General features: G+C 41.5%; 1 long non-coding RNA gene and 2 pseudogenes across 1 annotated transcript; 1 reads left to right on the top strand and 2 right to left on the bottom strand.

Annotated features, from left to right (window-relative positions):
• LOC100420116 (transmembrane protein 132B pseudogene) lies at nt 1-2,249 on the bottom strand (annotated as a pseudogene).
• RNU1-104P (RNA, U1 small nuclear 104, pseudogene) lies at nt 3,638-3,812 on the top strand (annotated as a pseudogene).
• On the bottom strand, nt 6,438-22,355 carry LINC02375 (long intergenic non-protein coding RNA 2375). Its single transcript, NR_110057.1, has 3 exons — nt 22,252-22,355; nt 16,343-16,439; nt 6,438-7,088 (listed from the first exon to the last, which is right to left on the bottom strand). It is a non-coding gene; the product is annotated as a long intergenic non-protein coding RNA 2375 (long non-coding RNA).
• Between the last annotated feature and the right edge of the window lie 1,882 nt (nt 22,356-24,237).

Below are 24,237 nucleotides of genomic sequence, written 5' to 3' on the forward strand. Positions count from 1 at the left end.
CAGGGCACACATGCCAATCTCCAAGACCGTTAGCCCCCTTGAGGTCACTTTATGGTCACCAGGACTACTGGGATCTGGTGACATCCCTTGAGTGGAGAAACTTGTGAAGGTATCTGGACCACCACTTTTGAGTAGCTTATTATTTCCATCCATGGGAGGTTGTGGGGGTCCAACCCGCAGACCTTGACCCAGCAACAGATGAGAGACATACACTGACACAGGTATTTTGCCTGTCAGTCCTGATAAGGGGCTCTGCTCTGAGTTTGCAGCATCACCTTGATAAGCCAGCAAAGTTTGCATTTATTTAGTACAGATTTAATGACAAAGACTTTGAGTCAACACGCCTGTGGGTAATTAATCTTGTTACCCTCCCCTGGAGAGAGCAGTCCTATAGATGATCAAAGGTTTGTCTTAGGACCACATGAATAAACAAGCTATTTAGATAAACCCCCTTTACATTCCTTTGTTATTTACCCTTGCTATTAGCTCAAAGACGATTAAGCTGCTTTCAGCCGTAATCTTTCCCCGAGGCTTTTGCAAAACCTTCTGGTCTTCTGAGAAGGTTTGTGTCTATTTTACAATTTCTCCCACCATCCTCACTGCATCCCCACAGGAGACTGGGGGGTTGTGCTTTTGTTGGTACTTTCCTCTTGGCCAACAGGTGTGCCTTGGTGGAACCATTCCTGGACTGGTCTCTCCTGGCTTCCTTCGTGCTTTACGGAACCAGTGAGTTGGTCTTTATATTCCCGATTTATGCTCTCTATATCATTCCCGCCTCTTTAAGAAAATTTCAATTAAAAAATGCTTACTGTCTACGTGTAAAAATAAGACAAAACAAAAATATTTGGTGCTTATCACTACTTGGTTCAAATTTGACCTTGAAGTTTTCTTTACTCAGGGTAAGAACACTCCTCCTCTTGGTCTTCTGACAGGTTCACTAATCATCATGTCTAACTCAAGGGTCCTCTGCAATAAGAACCATTTGAGCTTAAGGTTTGAACCTGGATAGACACCACCATGTCTTTCAATGATGAGACAATAAATGGAAAATCCTTGGAATCATAAATGTCTAAAGGTGTCACCAAACCATCACTGAACAAAGTTCAAGAACTTACTATTGCTTCCTAAGGAAAATGAAACCAAAGTATTATGTTATAATCAGGTTCCTACAAATCAAAAATATAAAATGATTTATAATGAAATGTTCTCTGATTATACAGTCTGAGAAAAATAGACATTTATATTTTATAATCTTGAACAGTTCTTGTTATTCCTTGAACTGGCATCAATAATGTGCTGTAGCCTCTCTGGTATGAGGAACAAATAATAGACTTTAATAAATGCATGAAAGTGTAAATTAATTTATTGCATGCGTACAACAGAATTTGACTTTGACCTTTTTAAAAACATTTATAAAGATCAGGCAATTTATCTGAATCAATTTCAGGTGCAACTAATCAGGTGTTCAAGATAATATTACTTTGAATGCTCTTCATTAGGAAGCTGGTGCTGATGAAGCAAAACAGGCACTGGCAGGAAGGACACAGGAAGATGTATTATGAGGCTGGCTGGTCTGAATGGCACAGTGGCCCTGGTATCTTCAAAAATGATTTGTGCAAGTTTAAAGACGAGAGAGAGTTTCAGAGTTGACAATAATTGCTGTAAACAGTAGCAATTTAGTATCTATTAGCCATGCTTGTTCAAGTAGCTGAAATGGAATTTCTAAGCATTGCAAACCAACTGCTTTGGCAAAAGCAAAAACATGTGATCCTTTGGTCATGATCTAGCAGCAGGCTGTGCCTAGCACAGATAAGCCCAGGGCAAAGCAAATGGTGTATGGGGATACGGTCGGCGTGGAAAAGCACATAAGAGGAAATGTGTCTAAGCCACTGAATACTTTTCTCAGAGACAGAGCAGCCTGGATAAGAAGCAAGAAGCTTCAAGAATCCCCAGTCCTAGGCATGAGGGCTGTCCTGCTCTCCTTCGCAGGATGTGCTAACTGAGAGAGAAGTCATCTCCACTGACCAGGGATGCAGGGCCCCTGGAACGCTCACCTGCTGTGGGGAATGAAGAACATCCAGGGCAGTGGCTGTGGAGACTATGGCCCTTTTGTCTGCTGGTTGAGGCTGCAGGGAGAGAGACATGCCAGCCATGAGCTGCACTCCCAGCTCTGCGATGGTGACTCAGTCATCCAGGACAATCACCGTCTTCTCAGCCAGGATGGAGTCCAAGAGTGGCAAGAAGACCTGAAATGTAGGCGAGGAGGCTCATGCATCTCTGTTCCTCATAAGCACCATGAATCCCTTAACTTAGGGCTCCCAACAAAGTGCTCTCCCAGCCCTCAGCTCAATGCATATGCTTGTGGGAATTCCTTAGGAAAGTGTTATGCTACGATTCCATTACACTTGCCAATTTAAAAGGGAGTTCAGAAAGTATCATCTTGGTCCATTTTCTTTCCTTATTGGTAAAAATATATGATAACAATAACAGTACATTTTCTGAGAACTTCATTTAATTAAGGGACAATAACTCAAAACAGCCCATTTAGAAATACTGAATGCTCAAAGAATAACATTTTCCCATCAACTGGGATTAATGTTTCAAAAATTGCAGAATTGCAATAAACTGTTTAAAGGAATGGTGTTCATATCTCTTCTGCTCATAGTCCATCCAGCAGGCAGGTAGATGTTTACTATGGGACAGTAATGATCATTGTGTGGGCTGCTGCACCATCACCTTTGTTGGCAGAGGCCTTCTAGTCTGTACAGAAGCAGCTTCCTGAGCTTATGGTCCTAAGGTTGCCAGAGGACCCCCTCCATCCACCATCCTGCCCTAATCAAAAATCACTGCTCTCTGAGCTAAGCTACTTGTATTACTGCTAAGACATCTGAAATGTGTCTCTCGTGTTGCCTATCTTGGTTTCTCTCTTCCTTCCTCGGGGTTCCAGCCCTTCCTCTCACTCTGGCACATGCTCTACTCTGACCTTCACCTGTCCAGAACCCACCCTGAAACAGCCTCTCTGGCTCTGCAACTCCAGAAACTTCCCCTCAAGAAGTAGCTGTCCTGTGTCCCTTTATGAGAACACTTTGTTTGGTTGCCACTGCCTAGTCTGTGTGTTTAGTAGCTGGGGATTGTGGCAGGGGAGAAAGAGGAGTGACTCATGGGTCCTGAGTGAGACCTGTTGGGTGCCCTGCTGCATGTGCTCATGGGAGAAAGAGAGCTGACATCAACTTCCCCAGCAGCACAGGACAGCCATGCATGTTCAACCCACGTAAGCTTCACAGAACTTCAAAGAGTGTGGTTGAATTATTTCTCTGATATTACCGATAAGGAAACCAAGGCATGGCAGAGAGAGGCCACCCATCCAGGGCCACACAGCTGGTCATCTGCAGAAGCAGGGTCTGTGCCCACGTAGACCACCTGTTGTGACCTCTTCCTTTCTATAGCTAAATCCATTCGTCTTCTCAACAGGTATGAAATACATCCTTATTTTTGCATGAAGAAACCAAGGCTCAGAGAGGCTTATGGGTGGCCCAGATAATTGTGAATTAGCACATTGGGATCCAGCTCCATTTCACTTTTGAAACCCAACTTCTTTACAATATGCTGTTCTGCCTCCCTGTAAGGTCTGAGAATTACACTTACCTGGAAGGGAAGATACCATGATCATGAAGGTGGTTTTCCCAGGGCGAGGCTTGTCTATTGCACACTTCGAGAACCATTTACTTGTATTACTGCTAAAACATCTGAAATGTGTCTTTCCTGTTGCCAATCATGGCTTCTTTCTTCCTTCCTTAGAGCTGCAGCTCTAAGTGATAGGAAAATTTTCGCCAGCATAGTAAGAGCAATTTGGGTTTCCCAAAGTGCAAGGTGAATATTTCAATGGGTAAAACAAATAATTTTCAATGAAAAAATTATAGGTAGCAGGAACATAGCATTTAAAAACAGAAGGAAAAGTTATGAGCTCAATCCTTTCCATGATATTAGGAGAAATTCTCTGTTCAGTGCTGGAATGTCTTCAACAGTTCTCTGACCCTTGCTGTTCTTCATTAGTTAATAAAGACAAACTCATAGACATAGGCAGACCATAGTATCTACTCAGATTTTTAATAGTATCAGTTTATTTTTTCCAAATTCATTTTTATTTGACTTTTTACTACATGGTGGATTGTACTATTTTTTGTGTGTCAGTAAGATGAAGCACCCTAATTTAAGTAAGGATTAAAGAGCTTAACAGGAACAATAATAAAGGTGGCATTTGAAAAAGGAAGTATCTTGAAAGTGGTACGTGGATAAATGAAGTTTTAGAGCTGCCATATAAATGGAAGTAAAACAGGTTGGATTAGTCTGTTCTGATTCTGCTAATAAAGATATAGCCAAGACTGGGTAATTTATAAAGAAAAGAGGTTTAATCGACACACAGTTCCATGGCTGTGTGGCCAGAGAGTCCTCACAATCATGGCAGAAGGTGAAGGAAGAGCAAAGTCACATCTCACATGGCAGCAGGCAAGAGATCTTATGTAGGGGAACTCCCCTTTATAAAACCAGATCTCATGAGACCAGATCTCCCCTTTATAAAACTACCAGATCTCATGAGACTTCTCCACTATCATGAGAACAGCACAGGAAAGACCCACCCCTATGATTCAATTACCTCCCACTGGATCCCTCCCACAACACGTGGGAATTATGAGAGCTACAATTCAAGATGAGATTTGGGTAGGGACACAGCCAAATCATATCAGAGGTCTATTTTAAGACATATTATACCATATTCAATATCATATCTTTGTTTTGTACCCTAACTCTGTAGACACCTGTGAACTCTATGTCACTTTTATTCACCTTTGCATCTCCAAGGCCTATAGCACTAGGCGGAAATACACTTAAAAATATGTTTAACTATTTTAACTATCTTGCATTGTTGTGATATTTTTGCAGTGTGACATCCATCTTAAAAAGCAAAATGTGCACAATCTTCCTCCAAATGTGCCATTCTCAGTGGTTCCTTTGCCTTTAGAGGCGAAAGCTTCATTCGTACAAACCAGACTTCCCTCTCTGTTTCATTAATGGACTTAGAGGCTTCCTGTTCAGTAACCAGCAATGAAAAATTACTTTTAATTACTTCTTCTAACCCAGGAAAGGCATGCCATTTTTCAGTTACCAGGTATAGATGGCAATAGAGAGAGATGAGAGATGTGGAGCAAAAACTCTCATACAACCCATTCCCCACCTACCACGGCCCAGCCCAGGGAGGAAGCACAGCTTCAGGGCTCTGGCTGCAATGTACAGGCAACAGGAATATGAAAAGAGGTGCACGGACACAGGTGGTCCCAAGAGAGGGTGATGGAGACCCGTGCTGTCCTCCCAGCCCCATATATGTGCAGGGCACTCCTGGCGTCTGTGGGCTGCCACCCGGATCCAGCAAACATTCTTCTTGAAGGCCCAAAGAACTTTGCTTCCTCCTCTTTATCATGAACTGATCAATAGATATTTTCCATGAGCCCTACTGAGTGCCAGGCCAGGTTCTATGCTCTGGGGAAGCAGTAGTGAGTGAAACAGATTTGTCCTCTGTGCCTGGGAAGCTTATATTTTAGAAAACGGGAGGGAGATATTACAAAAATATTAAAACATAATAATAGTTATAATTTCATGTGTGTTTAATGGGTTCCTCACTTCTATTCTCCCCTTTTCTTGGAAGGCTGAATATTGGCAAACTCACTATTTTTAACCTGAAGAGCTGACCTTGCAATGTGGTTTCCTGCCCATTCTATTATTAATAGAATCTTGAACCAAAGCAAGTAGAATCACGTGTGTGAAAGGCCTGATCTCCTACTCAAAACCATCCAGGAATTAAACAGCATGGATGATATCTCAGTTCAAGTTCCTTGCGTGTGAGGGGGGATTGAAGAAGCTGCCAACAGAGGGACCATCAGCTACTTGGGTCCTTCCTGTGATGTCCCTGAGAGCAGAGGCATGGTGGTGGTGTGGGGAGGTTAGGGGAGCTTTGTAGTTGCCTCTGCCACTGGATGCAGACACCTCAGGCATGGTAGGATTCCTCTGAGCCTCAGGCTCTGCATCTGGAATAGAGGGTATTCATTCTCAGCTTCACAAAGCTACTATCTAAGCATCAAATCAGAGCAATTTGGAAACGGTGAAGGGCGGACCACATCTCAGTGACATGACTGTGTTTTGCTTTGAGTGGGGTAAAGGGAAAGCAAGCTTTTAACAGGAAAAGTGGAATAAAATGCTCAGGAACACCTAAGGAACAAACCCACCCTGGAACACACAGTGGCTGTGAAATAATGAGGTTGCTTTCTAGGCCGTGGCATGGAAAGCCTCCGGGATTTACTGTGGAATGAGAAAACCGAACAAGAGCAGCATGGTGTATACAGCGTACTCCATTCAGTGCAAGAATGAAAAAGGAAAAGGTATAATAGTGTGCATTATTATTTTATTTTATTTTATTTAAAAAAAACAAGAAGAAAAATGAAAAAATACTACAGATAGAATTGGAAGGAAATTGCTGGAAGTAGATAGGGTGAGGATAAACTTTTCAATGTATACTTTTTATGTTGTTTGATTTTGGACTAAGTTATTATGTTTCTTTTTTCAAAAAATAAAATAAGTTTTAAACATTGAGCAATGTTTTTCTTCTCTGGTATCCTTCCATCTTGAGCAGTTTCTGCAGTACTTCAGAAACAGAACATAGAGAGAATTTAATTTCCTGGACTCTTTAGATCAGGAAACTTAACTTGACTTTCTTCCTATTGAGGATATCAAGATATTTGGGTATGTTAATCTACTGCCATCTTCAGAAGCTTTCCCTTCAAGGAGAAAATGCCTTTCAGCTTAAGCAACAAAATATTTGCTTAGGTGTATTATTAATATACCACTCTGGAAGCAAAGTTTTCTGAATAATTCAAAGATTGTTGAGCAGAGAAAACCTGTCATCCTGTAATCAGTGTTTTATCTTATATTTTCACCAGCCCTTGAAATTACTCTTCAGTGACGCTTACTGGCACAATCTGCTACAAGAAACAGCTAGACGTTTTTGACTGTACAGCTTAGTTTTGGGCTTCTGTCCTCTGCAAGAAAAAGAAAACATCACTGAAACAAACACTGGTGATCTGGAAAGAAGCCAAAGCATGATATAAATAACCTGCTTGAGGCTGATCAGGCCCCATAACCCTCAAATGCCACCTTCTTCTCAGTGGCCGATGAAGTCTCAAAAGGTCTTTAACGACACCATCAGTTAGTTCCTCTTCTGTCTCCTCCTCTTTCTCCTTTCTTCTCATTCCCCCTTCTTACTCTTTCCCTTCCTCCTCCTCCATCTTCATCATCTTCTTTTTCTTCTCCTTGTTCTTACCCAAGACAAGGAAGAGGAAGAATGATTTTGGTGGAGAGGTAGCTGTTCTGTCATAGGTATGATCATCTATCTATAATTTGAGTGCTTTTTTGTTTATTGTTTGTTTTTAAATGGGCCTCCTTTGCCAAATGTGCTGCCTTGCTTTGGCTTACATTCCCTAGCACCCCGTGCATGTAGACATAGTCACATGAGACATGTTAACCGATAGAATTGGAGAAATATAAAAATAATTCATGTAATTCCTGCTGCCTCTGGACCAAAAGATTTTAAGAAGTAGTTTTGCCTCCTCCATGCTCTCTTTACCAGACCCAGACAACGATAAAGCCCAAGATGATGGCAGAGCCTGAGGATGGAAGGCTCTTGGGGCCTCTGGGGCTCTGCAGCCATTGAGGAGAGTTACCTCATACTCAGGAATGCCCACTGTGGACTACCAAGTAAGCTGGAAAAAACCTGTGCTATGTTTGATCTATAATACATCAGGAATATATTTGATTCAGTATTTTAGCATACTTGCAATAATACAATAGTAATTTCTAGAAATTTTCAATAATTTTTTAGTGCTTACTTTTTGCCAGGTATGATTTTAAGTGCTTCGCAGATATATTTCATTGAATTCTCTGGACAACTAGGAAGTATAATTCTCATCCTCAATTTGTAGGTGAGGAAACTGAGAAACAGAAGTTAAATAACAAGTCTGGAGTCATGCAGGTATAAGGGTCAGAGCCAGGAGTAACACCAGGCAGTCTGACTCCAGACTCCACACCCTCACCCAATGTACTGAAGTCTATGGACTTTGGTTGGCATCCACAAATAGCTGAAAATGAATAACACAGGAAAGAACAATAGGGAAATTAGAATAAAAGTAACTACAGCTGTCGTCTAAAGGCCCGGTTTTGTGCTCAGTGCTTCTAAGTATTGCATTATTTTACTTAAACTTAATAACCATCCTATGAGATAGACACGATTATTCTTCCCATTTTAATTTTTTCACATCAAAGTGCTAGTAAATATGCAAGTCAGATCCATCTGACCAAGCCCAGACCATTGTTAACTATTGTGGATTATTCTTTCCTAGGGTCTGAGCCCCGGAGAGCCAGTTTTATCCCATTTATAAAGAGTTCTAAAGGTTCTGAGTCCCAGGAGCATCAGATCCACAGTCTCCTCTCTGGTTTCTCAGCTTCTGTTGGAGGCCACTAAAATTCTCCAGCCCTTGTTGTAGCTCACTCCATGTTCCAGATCTCAATCTGCCAAAGGAGTCTCGGCGTCCAGATGGTGGCCTCATACTGAGAGGGAAGGTGCTGCAGGTGAAGGTCACCATGTGCCTCATTTCCTTCCCATTCATAAAATGGATTCACAGTTGCTAGAAACCTTTGGGGAGGAGGTAGAACCTTGAGATACATCAACAGGAAAAGCACCAGCAAAAATTGAAAATAGTGAAAGTTCATGAGACACAATAGTTCTGATTTATAAGACACCAAGACAACCAGAAGAACAGGACTTGTACAAAAGGTAATTTGTAGGCACTGATTAGTGACAAATACTAAAAAGTATTTGTCTTACCAAGAAAACTATTTGGTATTACAAAATACTGACAAGTAAAACCATACATATAATTTCATAAAGTAACATAAGCTTTGTTGCCACATATGTGTTTGCGTGTGTGTGTGTGTGTGTGTGTGTGTTCTTTAACAGGTCTGCTCAACCTACTGTTAATCAAACAAAAATTCTTGTACCATATTGGAAAATATATAAAAGGTGGCCATGTGTTACCAAAAAATCACTTTATTCAACCCATAAAGGGGATCACTTTTTTGTTAATCATGAGAGCTTTGCACTAGATTAAAATCTTGATAAGAAAATATTCACAAAATGCACTGGAAATATCAATGTTTTGCCCCCATTAAACTGTAATCTTGTGGAAAAGAAGTGAGACTGTGGTATTTCATTACATTCTCTTTATTCGGGACTTAGGATTAGCCTCTTTAACGTGCGTAAGTAGGCAGGTTAAGTATTAGACAATTTAAGCCTCCATTTCACTTCACATCTTCCAGATAAGCTATTAAAATATTGCTGAATTTCTCTCCTGGACCATCAGGAAAATGCATTTATGTGTGTAGAAGGAAAGAGGAAGGAGGATGCAAAATAAGCCATCAATTCACCACAGATTCATAAAACTGTAAGGGGCCCGCAATGTCATTTTACAGATGAAGAAACTGAAGCCAGCGAGGTGGCATAGCTGGCTCAAGATCACACACATCGTTGACGGGTGCAACGTCAGACTGGTTGCTGGCTGAGTTCTCCATCTCAGCAAGTGGTGCCGCCATGCAGCCTCTTTAGCAAGCTGCAAACTGGGACTGTTCTTGATGTTTCTCTTCCTCACCCAAGTGTCTATTTACAGCTCAGACCTCCCTTCTGAGCTCCAGATGCATGTGCCTCTTGACATCATCAGATGAAAGGCTCAATAGTTTCTTAGCGGCCAAACATACAAAATCAAACTCACGATCTCCTATTTCCCCCACAGCACAGTCTTCCATCTCAATAACTAACATTGCCTTTTATCCAGCAGAACAAATTGAACATCACGATGTCTTCTTTAATTCCACCCATGTTCTTCACCACCGACATGCAACACTTCAAGTTCTCTTGGTTTTACTCCTAGGTGTCTTTTGTGCCTACGAATTTCTCTTCGCTGCTATTATACTAGCCCAGACCTCCATCACTTCCCACCTGGACATTTGCCACAACTTCAAAACTGCTCTCTTCACATCCCCTCTTCCCACACTGCCCTACTCTTCCTTGAGAGATTGTGTATGCAAATATGATCTAATCGTCTCCTGCTTACAGCCCTTTGATGGTTTCCCTTGGCTTTCAGGATCTCTGACTCAGTCTCCGTTATTAGCCCTATCTATTTCCAAATCTCCTCTCCCACCTTCTTTTGGTCACTCAATGATCCAGCCCCACGGAGGTACTTTTAGTATCTCCAGGGGCTGTGCCATAACTATTAACCTCAGGGCCTCTGGCCATGTGATTCCCTCTTCCTGGAACAGACACTTCCATGACTGCCTTGGTTGTTTTATTCGCTCAGCATTTATTCTTTCTGCCTATCTAAGCGCGAGTCACTTCCTCGGAGAAGCTTCCCAAATCTGCCTGGACTTGATGTGCTCTTTGCATGTGGTATGCAGACCTCCATGAAAATAGCCGGGCTTGCTACAAACAAGAAGGCTGCAATGGATGCATTAGGAAGTTCTTCACCTTCTCCATTGTTCTGGTGGTTGTCCCCTACTACAAGGACTTCCTGATCCTATCTCCTGTAGAGAAGACCTCTACATTCCTGCATTTGTGGAAAATTTTGATTTGACCATATATACTCCCTCTCGCTCCCCGCCCTCACCACCAATTTTACTTCAAATCATTTTGAATCACATCCGATTGTCAGGAACATATCGACTTTAGAAATCTTGAGGCCCTTTCTGTACATAAGAAATGAAATCACATTGCAGTGACCCTCGGCATTCTTTCAGAGCACATGCAGACTTAAATTTGCCTCAGCTTTCAGGAATTGAGAGATAGCCCACATGGAAAAATAAGTGAAAAATGAAACTAAGTGAGAGGCTTTGGCAATTCTGCGTGACTATTATTTGAGTTATTTCTTATGGGATATGCATTATCTTAAAAAAAAAAAAAGTGTTTCTTAGTAGCCATGTGACCACACACCAGCCCCCTGCCCAACTCACACACACACACACACACACACACTCTCACACTCTCTTTTAATAGTAATAAGGTTTTCTTCAGATAACCCTCCATTCACCATGTGCCCCTCTAACTCAGTAATTAAACCCCCATCCTCCTTGCCAGTGATTGATTTATGGGGAAAGCATGTGCTATTACTCTGGCCAATGAGCTGTGAGAAGTCCACGGCAGGGCTTCTGGGAAAGGCCTACTTGGTCAAAGAGACTCATGGGAAGTGGTGCCTCCTCCTCCTACAGGATGTTGTCGCATAGGAAATGACGACAGGAACTGCCCCAGAGATCCCAGAGCCCTGAGGGAGCCCAAAATGGGCCAGGCTGACCCTGCGAGTTCAGATGGACAGAAAGACAGAGGAACTCGGGACTTGATGACCTAGAGGGGCTGCTGGACCAGCTGCCTGGAACCTCCCCACTATGAGATGCCCTTCTTGTTGGTAAAGCCATCTGGATCTATGTGGTTTTGTTACTTGCCACCAAAAGGATTATAAATGATACAGGACCTCATCTCAAATGCCACTCCTCAGTATACATTCCTTGAGCCATTTCTAATTTAAACTTGGCACCCTCCTCTGGTTACTCTTTGTCTCCATTACACTATTTTCCTGTATCTAATTTGCTGTGTGTGCTACTGTGCACACTTATATTTACAACATTGATGCATTACTTAGACTCTTCGTATTGCTTATATCATGTCACTTACACTGTATTAATCACACCAGATTGCTCTGTTATATGATGAACTCCTTCACAGTAATTACCACTCTCGGAACCCTCCTGGTTGTTTCTTATCTCTCTTCCCCACCTGAAGGTAATCTGCTTGAGACCATGACCTGTCTCCTCTTCCCTACTATCTCTGCTAATAGGACAGTGCTGGGCACACAGAAGGTGTTCAATAAGTAGATGCTGAGTGTGTGAATGAATATGTCACAGCTGTTTCCTCTGGGACCCAATCATTTCTGTACACCACCACCAGTAGTGTGTGTATACGTAAGAAGGCAAAGAAGGTGACTCACACAAGGCTATCATGGTAATGGCATTAAGAAAAATGAAAGTGATTTTATATATTATGAGAGAAGACACAGACCAGGAGAAGAAACTTAAGAACCAAAGGCAAAAGAAGTCTGGGGTCTAAAATCTGGTAAATATGAGATCTTGGATTCCCAGTGGTGATTTGACCTCTGTACACGATGTCACAGAGTGAGGGTGTGTGTGTGTGTTGGATGGGGGTGAGGTATGGGAGGGGATAGAAAGACACACCAGGGTAAAGATTACAATCAAACAGCCATTCTGATACCTTCTATGCTCTCTTGAGCTGTAAGAGAAAATAGGAGAATCAACTGCTGCAAATTCTGTTATGAGAAGAGTTAAGGAAAACATGAACTTGGAAATGGAAAACAGACATTTTATGCCATTTTAATTTTTAACGTTTGCAAGATGGCCTATAAATATCATTTATGAAAAGTTGTCTTTAGAGCATAATATTTTCACTACCAAACTAACACTTTTGCCAAACATTACTCTTGGGTAATTGAGTGGGGAGAAAAAGATTCTTAGAATGAAAATGGGTTTCCTCTGAGGATCCCATAAGAAACTTCCCTTGCTTTGTTTTCTGTTTAGGAGAGAAGAAAAAATTGAATCTGTCTGTATAGCACCCACTGAGTTTCTCACTGTATTGATCAATCTGTCTGCATGGATGGAAACCTAACCATGCATTAAATTTCAATCCCATCACCCTGCCTTTGACCTAAGAAATGTGCTACTAAGGTAGAAGAGAGAAAAGCTACAGAATCAGATGGTGTGTCTCTTACAAATATACTAAAAAAGCAGACTTTCTAATTTAGGAAAAGGGAAAAAAGTATCTATGTGGCCTAAAAAGTTGATAATTAGTTGGTCATCAGGATCAAATATTTATCACTAATTACAGAGTTTAGCAAAGTCCTAGTGGTAGTGAAGCAGGAGCCTAGGAGAGCCACAGTGACACCATTTTAAAATCACCTCCACCTTGAGTCCAACAGGACGCACTCCTTGCCAGTCAAGACCCATGGTCATAAGATATTTATAGTTGAGGAAACAGCCTGAAGATACCTATGAGGACACACTCCTACAACAATGGAGAATCCAGATGTCCCAATACCCATAAGAATGTATACTTTCAAGATAATTATAGTTATGCTTTGATGTACTCACACACTAAAATGTCAAGGATAGTTTTCTTTAAATCAATAAGATAATAATTTTTGTCAGTCTATCTGATCACCCTCACATAATCAGAACTTAGCTTAGTCTTTACATAGAGAAGATCCCTACATAAGAAAAACTTAAAGACAGGCCATCCCTCTGCTTGCTTTCAGGGGATGCCTTACTCTGTAATTAAGTAGCTTTCAATACTGCACTCTGTGACTCACCTTGAATTCTTTTCTGCACAAGATCCCAGAACCCTTTCTTTGGGTCTGGATCAAGACCTCTTTTTTCAGTAACTCTAGCATTGTGTCATGTGCAGAGGTACTCAAAATTATTCTTTTTTTTTTCCTGAGTTTTTACACTTTCTAGAAATATGATAACAATCATTATTACAATAATAGCTATCATGTATTATATACTTACTATGTACCATGTATTGTTTATTAAACTTTGCATAGAGTTATACCCATTAAATCCTGCAAACACTGTGAATGTTAATTGCTCTGTCTCTGTATTACGGATGGGGAGACCAAGGCCTTGGGGAAGACACTTGTCCAGAGATCAGAGCTGCTCAAGGGCAGAGCAGTGATTTGTACACAGGTCTTCTGTGCCAGAGGGTTTCTCAGCACCCTGTGTTATAACCTTAGAGCAGCCCACTCAAGGAAAAGACATGACCATGCCTGTAGAGGATGAGAGGCTGACCATGAAAGGGCATGACTTAAATGCACACATCGAGGCTTTTGATCAACCTCATTTACGTATAATTGATGTTCCATAAACTGCATCCAGCTAAATCGTACAATTTCATGATTTTGACAATGTCCACCGCAGAAACCACCACACCCTTAGACAGAACATTCCTGTCACCCCCAAAAGATGCCATGCCTGTTTTCAGTACATAGCTCTCTCTAACTCTGGTCCCAGGTAACCTTGATGTGCTTTCTGCCATTAAACACTAGGCATGGATTAGTTAGGGATGAGTTTGACAATCAGTCCTCAAGTCTAGGGAGATGGAACTGGAAGTGGCAGAAACCTGAGTCCTTATCTCAACCCATCCCCTCCGCAGGTGTGAATAAGTCAGTCTCCAATGTCTGGGACTCATATTCCACATCTGTGAACCTGAGGGTACCCATATTTTCCAGCTCTCACATTGTTCTTCCTTTCATTTAGAGGATTTAGAGACCAAGCCCAGAGTCCAATACATTTTGAGATAATTTAAGCTTTCTCTGCCTCAGAGACCTTTTCTATAAACTAAGAATAAATCATTCATTCATTAAATAAGTATTTACTTAATGTCAGCTCAGACCCAAGAAGTGTTCTAGGCCCTGGAAATAGGGCAATGAACAACATAATCCCTGTCCTTATGAAGCTGATGATCTAAAGGTGGAGACAGACAAACTAAACACACATATAGATATGAAATATAATGTCAGGCAGTGAGATGGGTCAGAAAGAAAAAAATAGAGGAAGGAAAGGGAATATACAATGACAGAGGTTGCTGTTGTATTAGCATCCATGGCTCAGCTAACACTTCCCAAGTGTAGGGCTTTTCTCGGGTTCTCAATGGATTCCTTACTTTCTTCTTGAAAAGATGAGGTAATTAAACCCATCATTACCACCATTCACTTGTCTGCCCACTATAATAGTCATAGTTTCTAATATATGTATCTGTGAATTATGTATATGTGAATTAATATTTTATTTAGTTATATATACTATATATTACATATATTTACCATACATGATATATATCATATATGAATTAATATATTTAATTATATATGAATTTATATACATATATCCATATATTCATCTCACATATGTGCATGAATTTGGGCTCAAAGCATACAGTTGAATTTTCAGGAGTTAAATTCTGGGTGCACAGCCCCAGTCCATGTGCACCCCAGGATGACAGTGAACACGACTGCACATGTGACTGTTCGAATACAGCAGCACAGTCTGGGGTAGTGTCCATGGTAAAAGTTGTTTACATATCCTTTAGAGTACTATAAATAATACATGTGCAAAGTCAAATAATTATCACAGAGAGTAAAAGGTGAATAAGTCCATGGACCCTGGGGCTTGAGGAACCTTGAGCCGTTTTTGTATCTTCATACGCTAAGACTGATTCATTAACACTTCTCTGCCCTTTCTGGACTGTAATGCATGTCCTTGGAAGACAAGATTGTTGCCTTATCTGACTTTCTGAAGTCCAGGGTCATGGATGGGGCCTGGAACATTGTAGACATGCAAGAATGGTTCAGAGTAAATGAGATGAAGTAGGTTGTCCAGGATCATACAGCTGGCAACTGGCAGGCCCCGTGAGCCCCTCCCTTCCCTCACCAGCACTGGAAGTCACTCTCAGCCCCTACTTCCAAAAGACCTCCCTAGCCCAGCCTTTTGAGGTGTGATTGTGATGCTTTGCACTTGGCTGTATTTCTTTTTATCAATTCTTATTCACATATGTTGATCTGGCCTCTGTGGTTGGACCATGGCTTGGATGTGCCATTTCTTCATCTCTCCATGGTGGTTTGGCCAGCACTCATCCTATAACTGACGAAACGTCCAGGCCTCCCAGCAAGTGTGGACCTCAGGGGCAGGGTGGGCAGAACGGGGACCACTGCACAGCTTCCCTTCCCATCTCATTCAACACACACCTCCATCATAGAATCTTAACGTCCTGGTGCTGAATGAGACCTCAGAGATCTGATCTGTGCCCACTTTGAAGAGACGTAGCCCCGAAAGGACAAGTCACCATTTTAAAGGGCACAGAGTTTACAGAGCCTGAGGCTAAATCTCCAGGCCCGGCTCAGGGCCAGTGATGTTCTGTGGTGGGATCTGGGCAGGACTCTGGGGACACAGAGGGAATCAGAGAGCTTATGCCCTGGAGGAGGCCCAACTGAGTGAAGGACACAGAATTGTGCAAAATGCTGTAAAATACAGTGATTGGTAGGAGAGTACAGTTTTCACAGTGCTTACAAGATATCAGGCCTCAGTGGCTGTGTTCTGTCCACCTGAACTACAAGAAGAGTCTGCTGCTCACCTTAATCTGAGTTTCCCAGGACATCTCCTTTCTAACAGGACACAATTAGATTGCACAAGTACAGAGCACAATCTCTCAAATCTGCTTGCTGGGCCTCCTATATGAAGAAAACAAAAATTCTGATTATTTTTCCCTTTGAGAAGAAGCCTTGTCCAAATCACATGAAACAAGGTTTGATTCCACCTTTATAAACAAGTGCTATGAAAATTTTTCTCCCTATCAATTGTACACCTGCAACTTAGGCCCAAGATTATTACACAGTACAGCATCTATTAGATGCTTATTTATGAGCTGTTTTCATTTTAGCACTTTATCTCATGACGTTGGGAGATTTAAAAAGTGCCACCAACACTTGTTAGATTAGGAAAAGATCCAGGCATTTCATACGCATCAAAAGGTGCCGCAGAAGGGATTGGGGGTTGTTTATCTGGTAAAAGCCCAGCATATGGTGCAGCCCAGCTCCCTGCTCCAGCTCTAGCTGCACTCTCTGAACCTGCCGTTAATTAGGTGCCATTGGTACAGGTGCTGGAGTCACAAGTTTAGCTGCTCAGGATTTGCACATAAATTAGTCAAAGAAAAGATAAACACTTTGGCAGGATAAGCATATTCTCAGGGTAGAAAGCAGGGTGTGTGTTTTCCAAACTTGTTTTAAAACTACTTATGAAAATTTATTTTAGAAAAGAAACTTTTATAAAAAGAATGCTGTGAATTGTGAAATCAAAGTGTAAAAATCAGCAGCTGAGTTTTTGTCTTTGAGACGAGAAAAGGGGAAAAGCAAATACAAAGACTTCCCTATCACTTGCTCCAGAATCATAACAGAAAAGAGTTCTCTTTGTTTTCCTCCAGTATATCAGACTTCCTCATACATACCTTTGCCTCATTGACATCATGTTTCAATCCTTATTAAAAACTTCTGCTGGCTGTGAGAAGGTCTACTAGAAATAGGAAATAAGTTCATCTCACTGGCCAAGGCAAGTCAATTTATAGTTGTGGCTCAAAGGAGCTCTGCTTGGGAGAGAATCTAGGGTTTAGCAGGAAGGAGTGCTGGTATTGATTAGTGATGTCTGCCATGGGCACATGCTAGGATTGAGAGCCACGTATGTCTTATCTCTGCTGCTCTGACTCATTAACAAGTCCCAATTCCACAAAGCAGTTCTTCTTTATGGTAAAGAGAATTGATGTTCCCTGCCCACCATCAAAGCTGCATGGCAGGAGTTTAAAGTGTGAACCAAGCCCCAAAACATCAATGAGAGTCACCTTCTCTCCTAATATACACAAAACAAATATGGCTCTGAGAAACACAAGACTCTAGGGCCTTGAGGAAAGAGCAGATGAAAGGCTTCCAGGGGAGGAGGGAAGGAAGCACATGGCCATGTTTACTGGGCAGGTGGAGCTGGGAGGCATGCAGGTTTACACTGGCTCATTCCAAGGTTTCCCTGAATTATGCAGAAACAATTCCAGATTGTTAGTTCTTAATTAGAGATGCCAAAGACAGAAATTAACAAACAATCTAATTAATATTGGAATCATAGTGAAGCTGACAGGAACAAAAGGTTGAGAATGCAGCAATATTTTTTCCTGGCCAACAGGAAAAACATGGCACATATCTAATTAGAATGGAACAATAAAATTCCAAATTACCAGCATAAAGGACAAAATTAAGCAATAACATCCAAACTGCCTGACAACTTATTCTTAGCTGTCTGGCTCCTAGTGATGAGCAAAGGAAAGAAATCTATGCACAGAAATAGAATGACAGTGTTTTTTTGTAGGAATTTTTGCCAATCATTGCTAAAGGAAAAAGAAGAAATAGCCTGAAACTTCTTTCGAGTTTTTCTATATGTTCTTCCAAATAAAATTCAAATCAGTCAGAGGGTTTCTTTGGAAGCCCATAGAAGACAAGGACCTTTTCCAGATAAGCCAGTGCAAAGAGTCTGTTCTGAACCCATTTCTTTCTCTTCATCAATACCTGTGGATTCCTCAGAAACACTCTCAATTCCACCCTTGCCTGTGGCTGAGCCTCTAGCTTCTATTTTGTTTACCTGATCCTACAGTGCACAACTTTTGGGGTAGATCAGACTGACAGTCCCCAGGCAGAATGTATTCATAGGCCCTTTCCAACTAAAAAGGTAACCAGTTCTCTATACATTGCCAAACACACAATGTTATTCAATTGAATGAGATTTTCAAGTCAAAAATCTTGCATAAAATCTACATTTCCAGAAACATCTGTTTTTAAATGAGATAGCAGTAAGAAGGAACTTTTTGTCCATTTTTAGGTACTGTGAATTTGGACATGTAATAGACTAATGTTTATTATTCAAAATATACTGAGTACACACACTTAAAATCCTTTCTGTGCTTCAGTTTCCTGAGCTGAAAAATGGGATAATACATCTACTTCATGGAAGGCTGTACAGATTGAATGTTGTAATGTATTTTTACAAAGTAGAACAAGTTCTGGCACAGTACCACTGGGTGTTGTAATGACGGTGTTGTCCTTGTTGCTATTACTGTATTTGAATAGACCATGGGGATAGAAATATTTACAAGGCATGGCACCTACCTCCAAGGGGCACATGCATCAACATGCACAAAGACATACAAAGTGCTGAGTCCCTAATGTGTCTGTACAGGACAATGGAAACACAGAGGTGAGATTCCTTGGCAGGGAGAGCAACAGGAAGGTGGCTGCACAGAACAGGGAGCACTTTAGCCAAGTCTCAGGGTGACTGGGAGGTATCCAGGTGAAGGAGTGGGAACAGGATTCCCAGTGCAGGGAATAGCATGAGCATGGGAAAACCATGAACAAAACCTCATCTTATTTTGAGACCTAAGTAGGTCCTAGTGTTTTGACAGTACAGGGAGCATCTCATGGAAGATGAAAATTTTCCTGTAGAATCAATCCTCACTCCTTGACCATGTGCTTCAAGTTAAGCCAATCCCACCTCCAGCTGCAGAGGTGGGTACATGACCCAGGCATGGCCAATCCACCTATTTTATTATATGGCCACAGTTCTACCAGATCAAAAATGGTCATGGGCATGAGACCCAGTGTTCTTTAAACCTGGAAATATTGTTGGAAGCACTAGAGAACAGAATCTTCCTTTTTGTGAACCTGAATGTGAAATGATGTAAACCTCTTAGCTGCTGCGGGTGACTATATAGAAATAATCCATCTGAGAATAAAGACAACATATGGGGATATCAGAAATAAGAGATGGAGAGTAACCAAATCCTAAGGAGCCTTTGGATCCAACTTAAAGTCATTATTACCTCTTCTAGTTACTTGCCCACTACACTTTCCTTCAGTGGCTCAAGCAAGTTATATTTGGATTTCTGTTATTTGCAAACAGGCAAACAGAATGCCCACAAATAGCTAGTGAGGGAATTCAGGTTATCCCTGCCAGATCTCACTACCTATCACACCTGTCCTACTCTGTTCCACCTGAATAATGATTCCTTTAGCTCAATGACCGCAGTTCAAATGTGCCTCTCTAAAGGACTAATTCAAAAAAAATATATTTCCTTCCATATTTTAATCTGAAAATTTAAAAACTTGAGGAAACCTCATCACAGAGCCCTTTTGTAGCTGCTGAAAATTAGCTCCGGAAATGCAGCTGCTCTATCAAAACTGCTGATCTTCACCAGAGGTGACATTGGGTTCTATTTAGTAACCAGCTTTCCACACACTGCCAAACAAGCAGCAGGAGAACCTTAGATTTCCTTGAGAGCTCATCCATCAGAAGATATTCTGCCTTAACCACTGGAAGGCTAAGTTTGAAAACAAGATGTCTCCCTGGGGATAGGAAGGCTTTTGCACACTAATGTCCTTTTACTAGCCCTCTAGAATCTCCTCATTGCTAGTCCAGCTGACGCTGGAAGCTGAGAAACTGAATTACTGCAGGGTAAAAAGGAGGGCACCATCTTTGAGACCAGCATGATTCTATGTTTTTTTTTCTTTCCAAGAATAAAGATGCTCATCTCCTGTTGATGATGCATGATGGACTTCTGGGGTTCTGGGAACCATCATTCATTGACAAAAATACAATTACTAATCCAATAAAAACAGGAGCCCACATATTAGAAAGATAGATCCCCAAAGATTACAAGAGAATCTTACTCTAAAAACCACATTTTCTGTCCTTCCTGTGAAGATGTACAAAGAAACTTGAGAAAGCTAGGAAAACATGTCTTCCTGCTATTTTTTTAACAAAGTATTTTACAAATACTTTGGAACAAGTCCACTACCAACTGATTCCTCTGATGGGGACCATAGGGATGGCATTTTGATACTAGCTCATAAGAACCTCCCCTAAGTATGTCCTGCACAACTACAAGGAATAACAGCTCAATAATTCTCCATGGTTAAGATTACAGGCTCTGGAGCCAGTCTTTTCAGATTGAATATATGATTGCTACACTCACTAGCTGAGTGGCCTTAGATGACTTTAATTAAACCATCTACACCTCCATCTACATCTCCTTATCTATGGACTGTGAAAGGTGGTATTTTCTACCTCAAAGGACTGTTATGAGAATTAAATGGATCAACACTTGTAGCAGCTGGCACATAATAAGTGTTAGCTATCAATATTCACTGTTCAATCAGTGTTAGCTATCAATATTCATTAGAGTGTAAGCTCCCAACGGCAGAAACCATATCCATTCCATCTTTGTGACTCGCACAACATTTTATACACTTTCCTATACATTATATATGTTCAATCAGTATATCTAGATTAAAATCACTCAGTAAGATCAAGGGAAGACTTGGTTCACAGGATCTTAGAACTCAGGTCCAAGTCTCCACCCATTGCCAAATCTGTTTGACACATAAGCCCTTCTGCCTCTTTTTGAAGATTTTCAGTGATGTTAAGTCCGCTCGGGATTGTCCAACAAAGATTGGACAGCCACTCTTAGGGTTTATTTCACCTCTGGATTCATTCATTCCTATGTTCAAAGTACTGATTGAGCACCATATATATATCAGGCACTGTGCAAGCACAGAGGACACGTGATTAGTAAAGGGACATAGCCCAGACTCCGTGGGTCCTACAGTCAAGTAGAGGTTAGAAGATAGAGGTGAAGATACGAATATGGATGTAACATAGATGTATATGTAGTATTTACTGATGTAGTGGAGGTCAAGCACTGTGTGACCCTTTTACAAACATCATTTCATTCTCTCCCAAATTTCACTGGTATTGCATCATACGACATTTAAACTAGTTAATTATAATTTATTTATCAGTGCTCAGCCTCTCTGTAGATTTCCACCTGACAACAGTTTATTATCAGAAGACATGAAAGAGAGAAGAATAAAATAGAGAGGGAAAAATTTAACTTAACTTCATTGTCTTCCTCCAAATCTTTCTTATCTATGACTCCATTCAATACTGCCTGTAAAACCAGTGTATGGTGAGGACCATATACTGCCCCATAAAATTTGCACATGGGTCAAATACAAGAAGAAATTAAAGCAAAGACAAAAACCAATTGGCCTGGGAACCTCTAAAAGCCTAGATGTTCTCCAAAACACTTTCAAAGATTTCTTGGATGAGTGTCAGTTCTGCTTCATGGACTGTCATTAGAACAGATCTCTAGAAAGGGTAGCTCCGCGCCTCAGCATTGTCATTCCCATTTTACAAATGAGGAAACTGGGCTTGGGGAAATTTAAGTAATTTTTCCCAAGATCAAATACATAGAAGATAGAACCAGGATTCGGACCAACATTATCTGTCTGAAAGCTTAACCAAAGAATTCAGTGGCTCTGCATTCTTTTTCCTTAAAGTAAGCTAAAAGTGGTTCCTTTTTAACTTCCCCTGTTGAAATATAAAAAGCACAAACCTACTCCATCTTCCACATGATGGCCCTTGAAAGACTTAAAAAGAGCTGTCAGTTCTCACTCTGTATGTTACCCCCAGGCTTTTTCTTCTCGGCATCAGGCTATACACTCTCACTTCCTTCAGGCAATTCTACTGTGATTTGATTTCAAAAGCCTTCAGCCCATGGACACTCTTCAGCAGAACACAATCTGACTTCCCATTGTTCTGTTTATGACCTAGAAAGAATTCTCTGTTGGAGTGACAGAGTGAGGGCTATCATCTGTTGCTCATTTTTGATGGAGACCAGTGTAAAAGAAATATCTCACATCACTCTGAAATCTACTGTCAGAAAGCCAGTAGCACAAATGTGACAAGAAATGACAAGAGCCCCTCACCCTCAGTGTGGAAGGCGAGAGGGAGTGGTGGAGATTACAGTGAGTTGGAGTGGTGGGGAGTGGAGAGCCTCTGTAGACAACTGGTCCACTCCAGATGATGATGACCGGCAGGAGTATGGGCGCAGGACAACCTGACCACATGGTGTTTCAAGAGGAGCTCGGAATCCAGATGTGAAATTAACAATGTTTGCATGCTGGAAATGGATTCAAATTTTAAAAAGTCAAACACACACACACAACCCTTCTGGACCAGATTTGGCATGAAGTACAGCAGCGTTGCCTGTGCTGGGACCATGCTCTGACTAATGCTGACGAAGATCACATCAGCCTCATGGCGACCTCTTCATTTGATTCATTGGCTCTTACTATTTATAAAGATGCCAAGATTTTTTCACACAGATGTTGCTGTTATGCTGCATATTTTGAAATTAATGAAAACTTTCTTAAACTAAGAGTAGAACTTTTTATCCTTCTTCCACCTGCCAGACTAGGTTGAGGTTCCAGTCTCTGAAAATTATTTTATTCTCCCAGATTCTGGACTCTTTAACAATTGTGTCCTCTGTCTTCTCCAAAGTCATACCAATCCTGAGATCAAAACTGCAAGCCAAGGCCCAGCGCGGTGGCTCACACCTATAATCCCAGCACTTTGGGAGTCCGAGGTGGGCAGATCACTAGTTCAAGAGATGGAGATGTTAATGCTGAAGACCTGAAATCAACAGAAAGGAATGTCTGGGTTACTATGATAAGGAGTAGAGAGTCCAAAGATTTATCATACAGATGAAGCCTGCAGGTAGCAAGCTTCAGAAAGAATATGGCCAACATGGTGAAACCCCGTCTCTATTAAAAATACACGTGGTGGCATGTGGCCGTGGTCCCAGCTACTCAGGAGGCTGAGGCAGGAGAAACACTTGAACCCAGGAGGCAGAGGTTGCAGTGAGCCCAGATCGCACCACTGCACTCCAGCTTGGCAACAGAGCAAGACTCTGTCTCAAAAAAAAAAAAAAAAAAAAAAGTGCAAGCCAAAAATAAAATCCTAAGGCCCTGAAATCATCTGAATGGACCCCTCTCCTCAGCCAAGGGCATCCCAAAGTTGGTTCAGGCCATAGGGAAGCAGGTCAGACATGCCTTGTGATACCCTCCTCCCTTTTGGAATTCAGGAAAAGCTGACCAGCATTAACATCAACACAAACCTTAAGTCTGATAAGAAACATTTATAATCTATTATTTTCGAAGCTTGATACCTGCAGGCTTCATCTTCATGACAAATCTTTGACTCCTCTATTCCTTATCATAGTAACCAGACATTCCTTTCTGTTGATTTCAGGTTGCCATTGCTTTTGGTGTTTTAGATATGAAGTCTTTGCCCATGCCTATGTCCTGAATGGTATTGCCTAGGTTTTCTTTTTTTATGGTTTTAGGTCTTTAGGATGGCCAGGGCAGGCGAGGGAGGGCAGGGTGGGACCAGACGGATGAACATGGCTGGGCGCGGTGGTTCACGCCTGTAATCCCAGCACTTTGGGAGGCCGAGGCGGGCAGATCATGAGATCAGGAGTTCGAGACCAGCCTGGCCAACAGACCAGCCTGGGCAATATGGTGAAACCCCGTCTCTACTCTTTCAAACAATTGCCAATTAGAACATTTTAAATCTACCTATAACTTGGCCCCCCTCCCT

The sequence above is a fragment of the Homo sapiens genome, chromosome 12, assembly GCF_000001405.40.
Source record: "Homo sapiens chromosome 12, GRCh38.p14 Primary Assembly".
Lineage (NCBI taxonomy): Eukaryota > Metazoa > Chordata > Mammalia > Primates > Hominidae > Homo > Homo sapiens.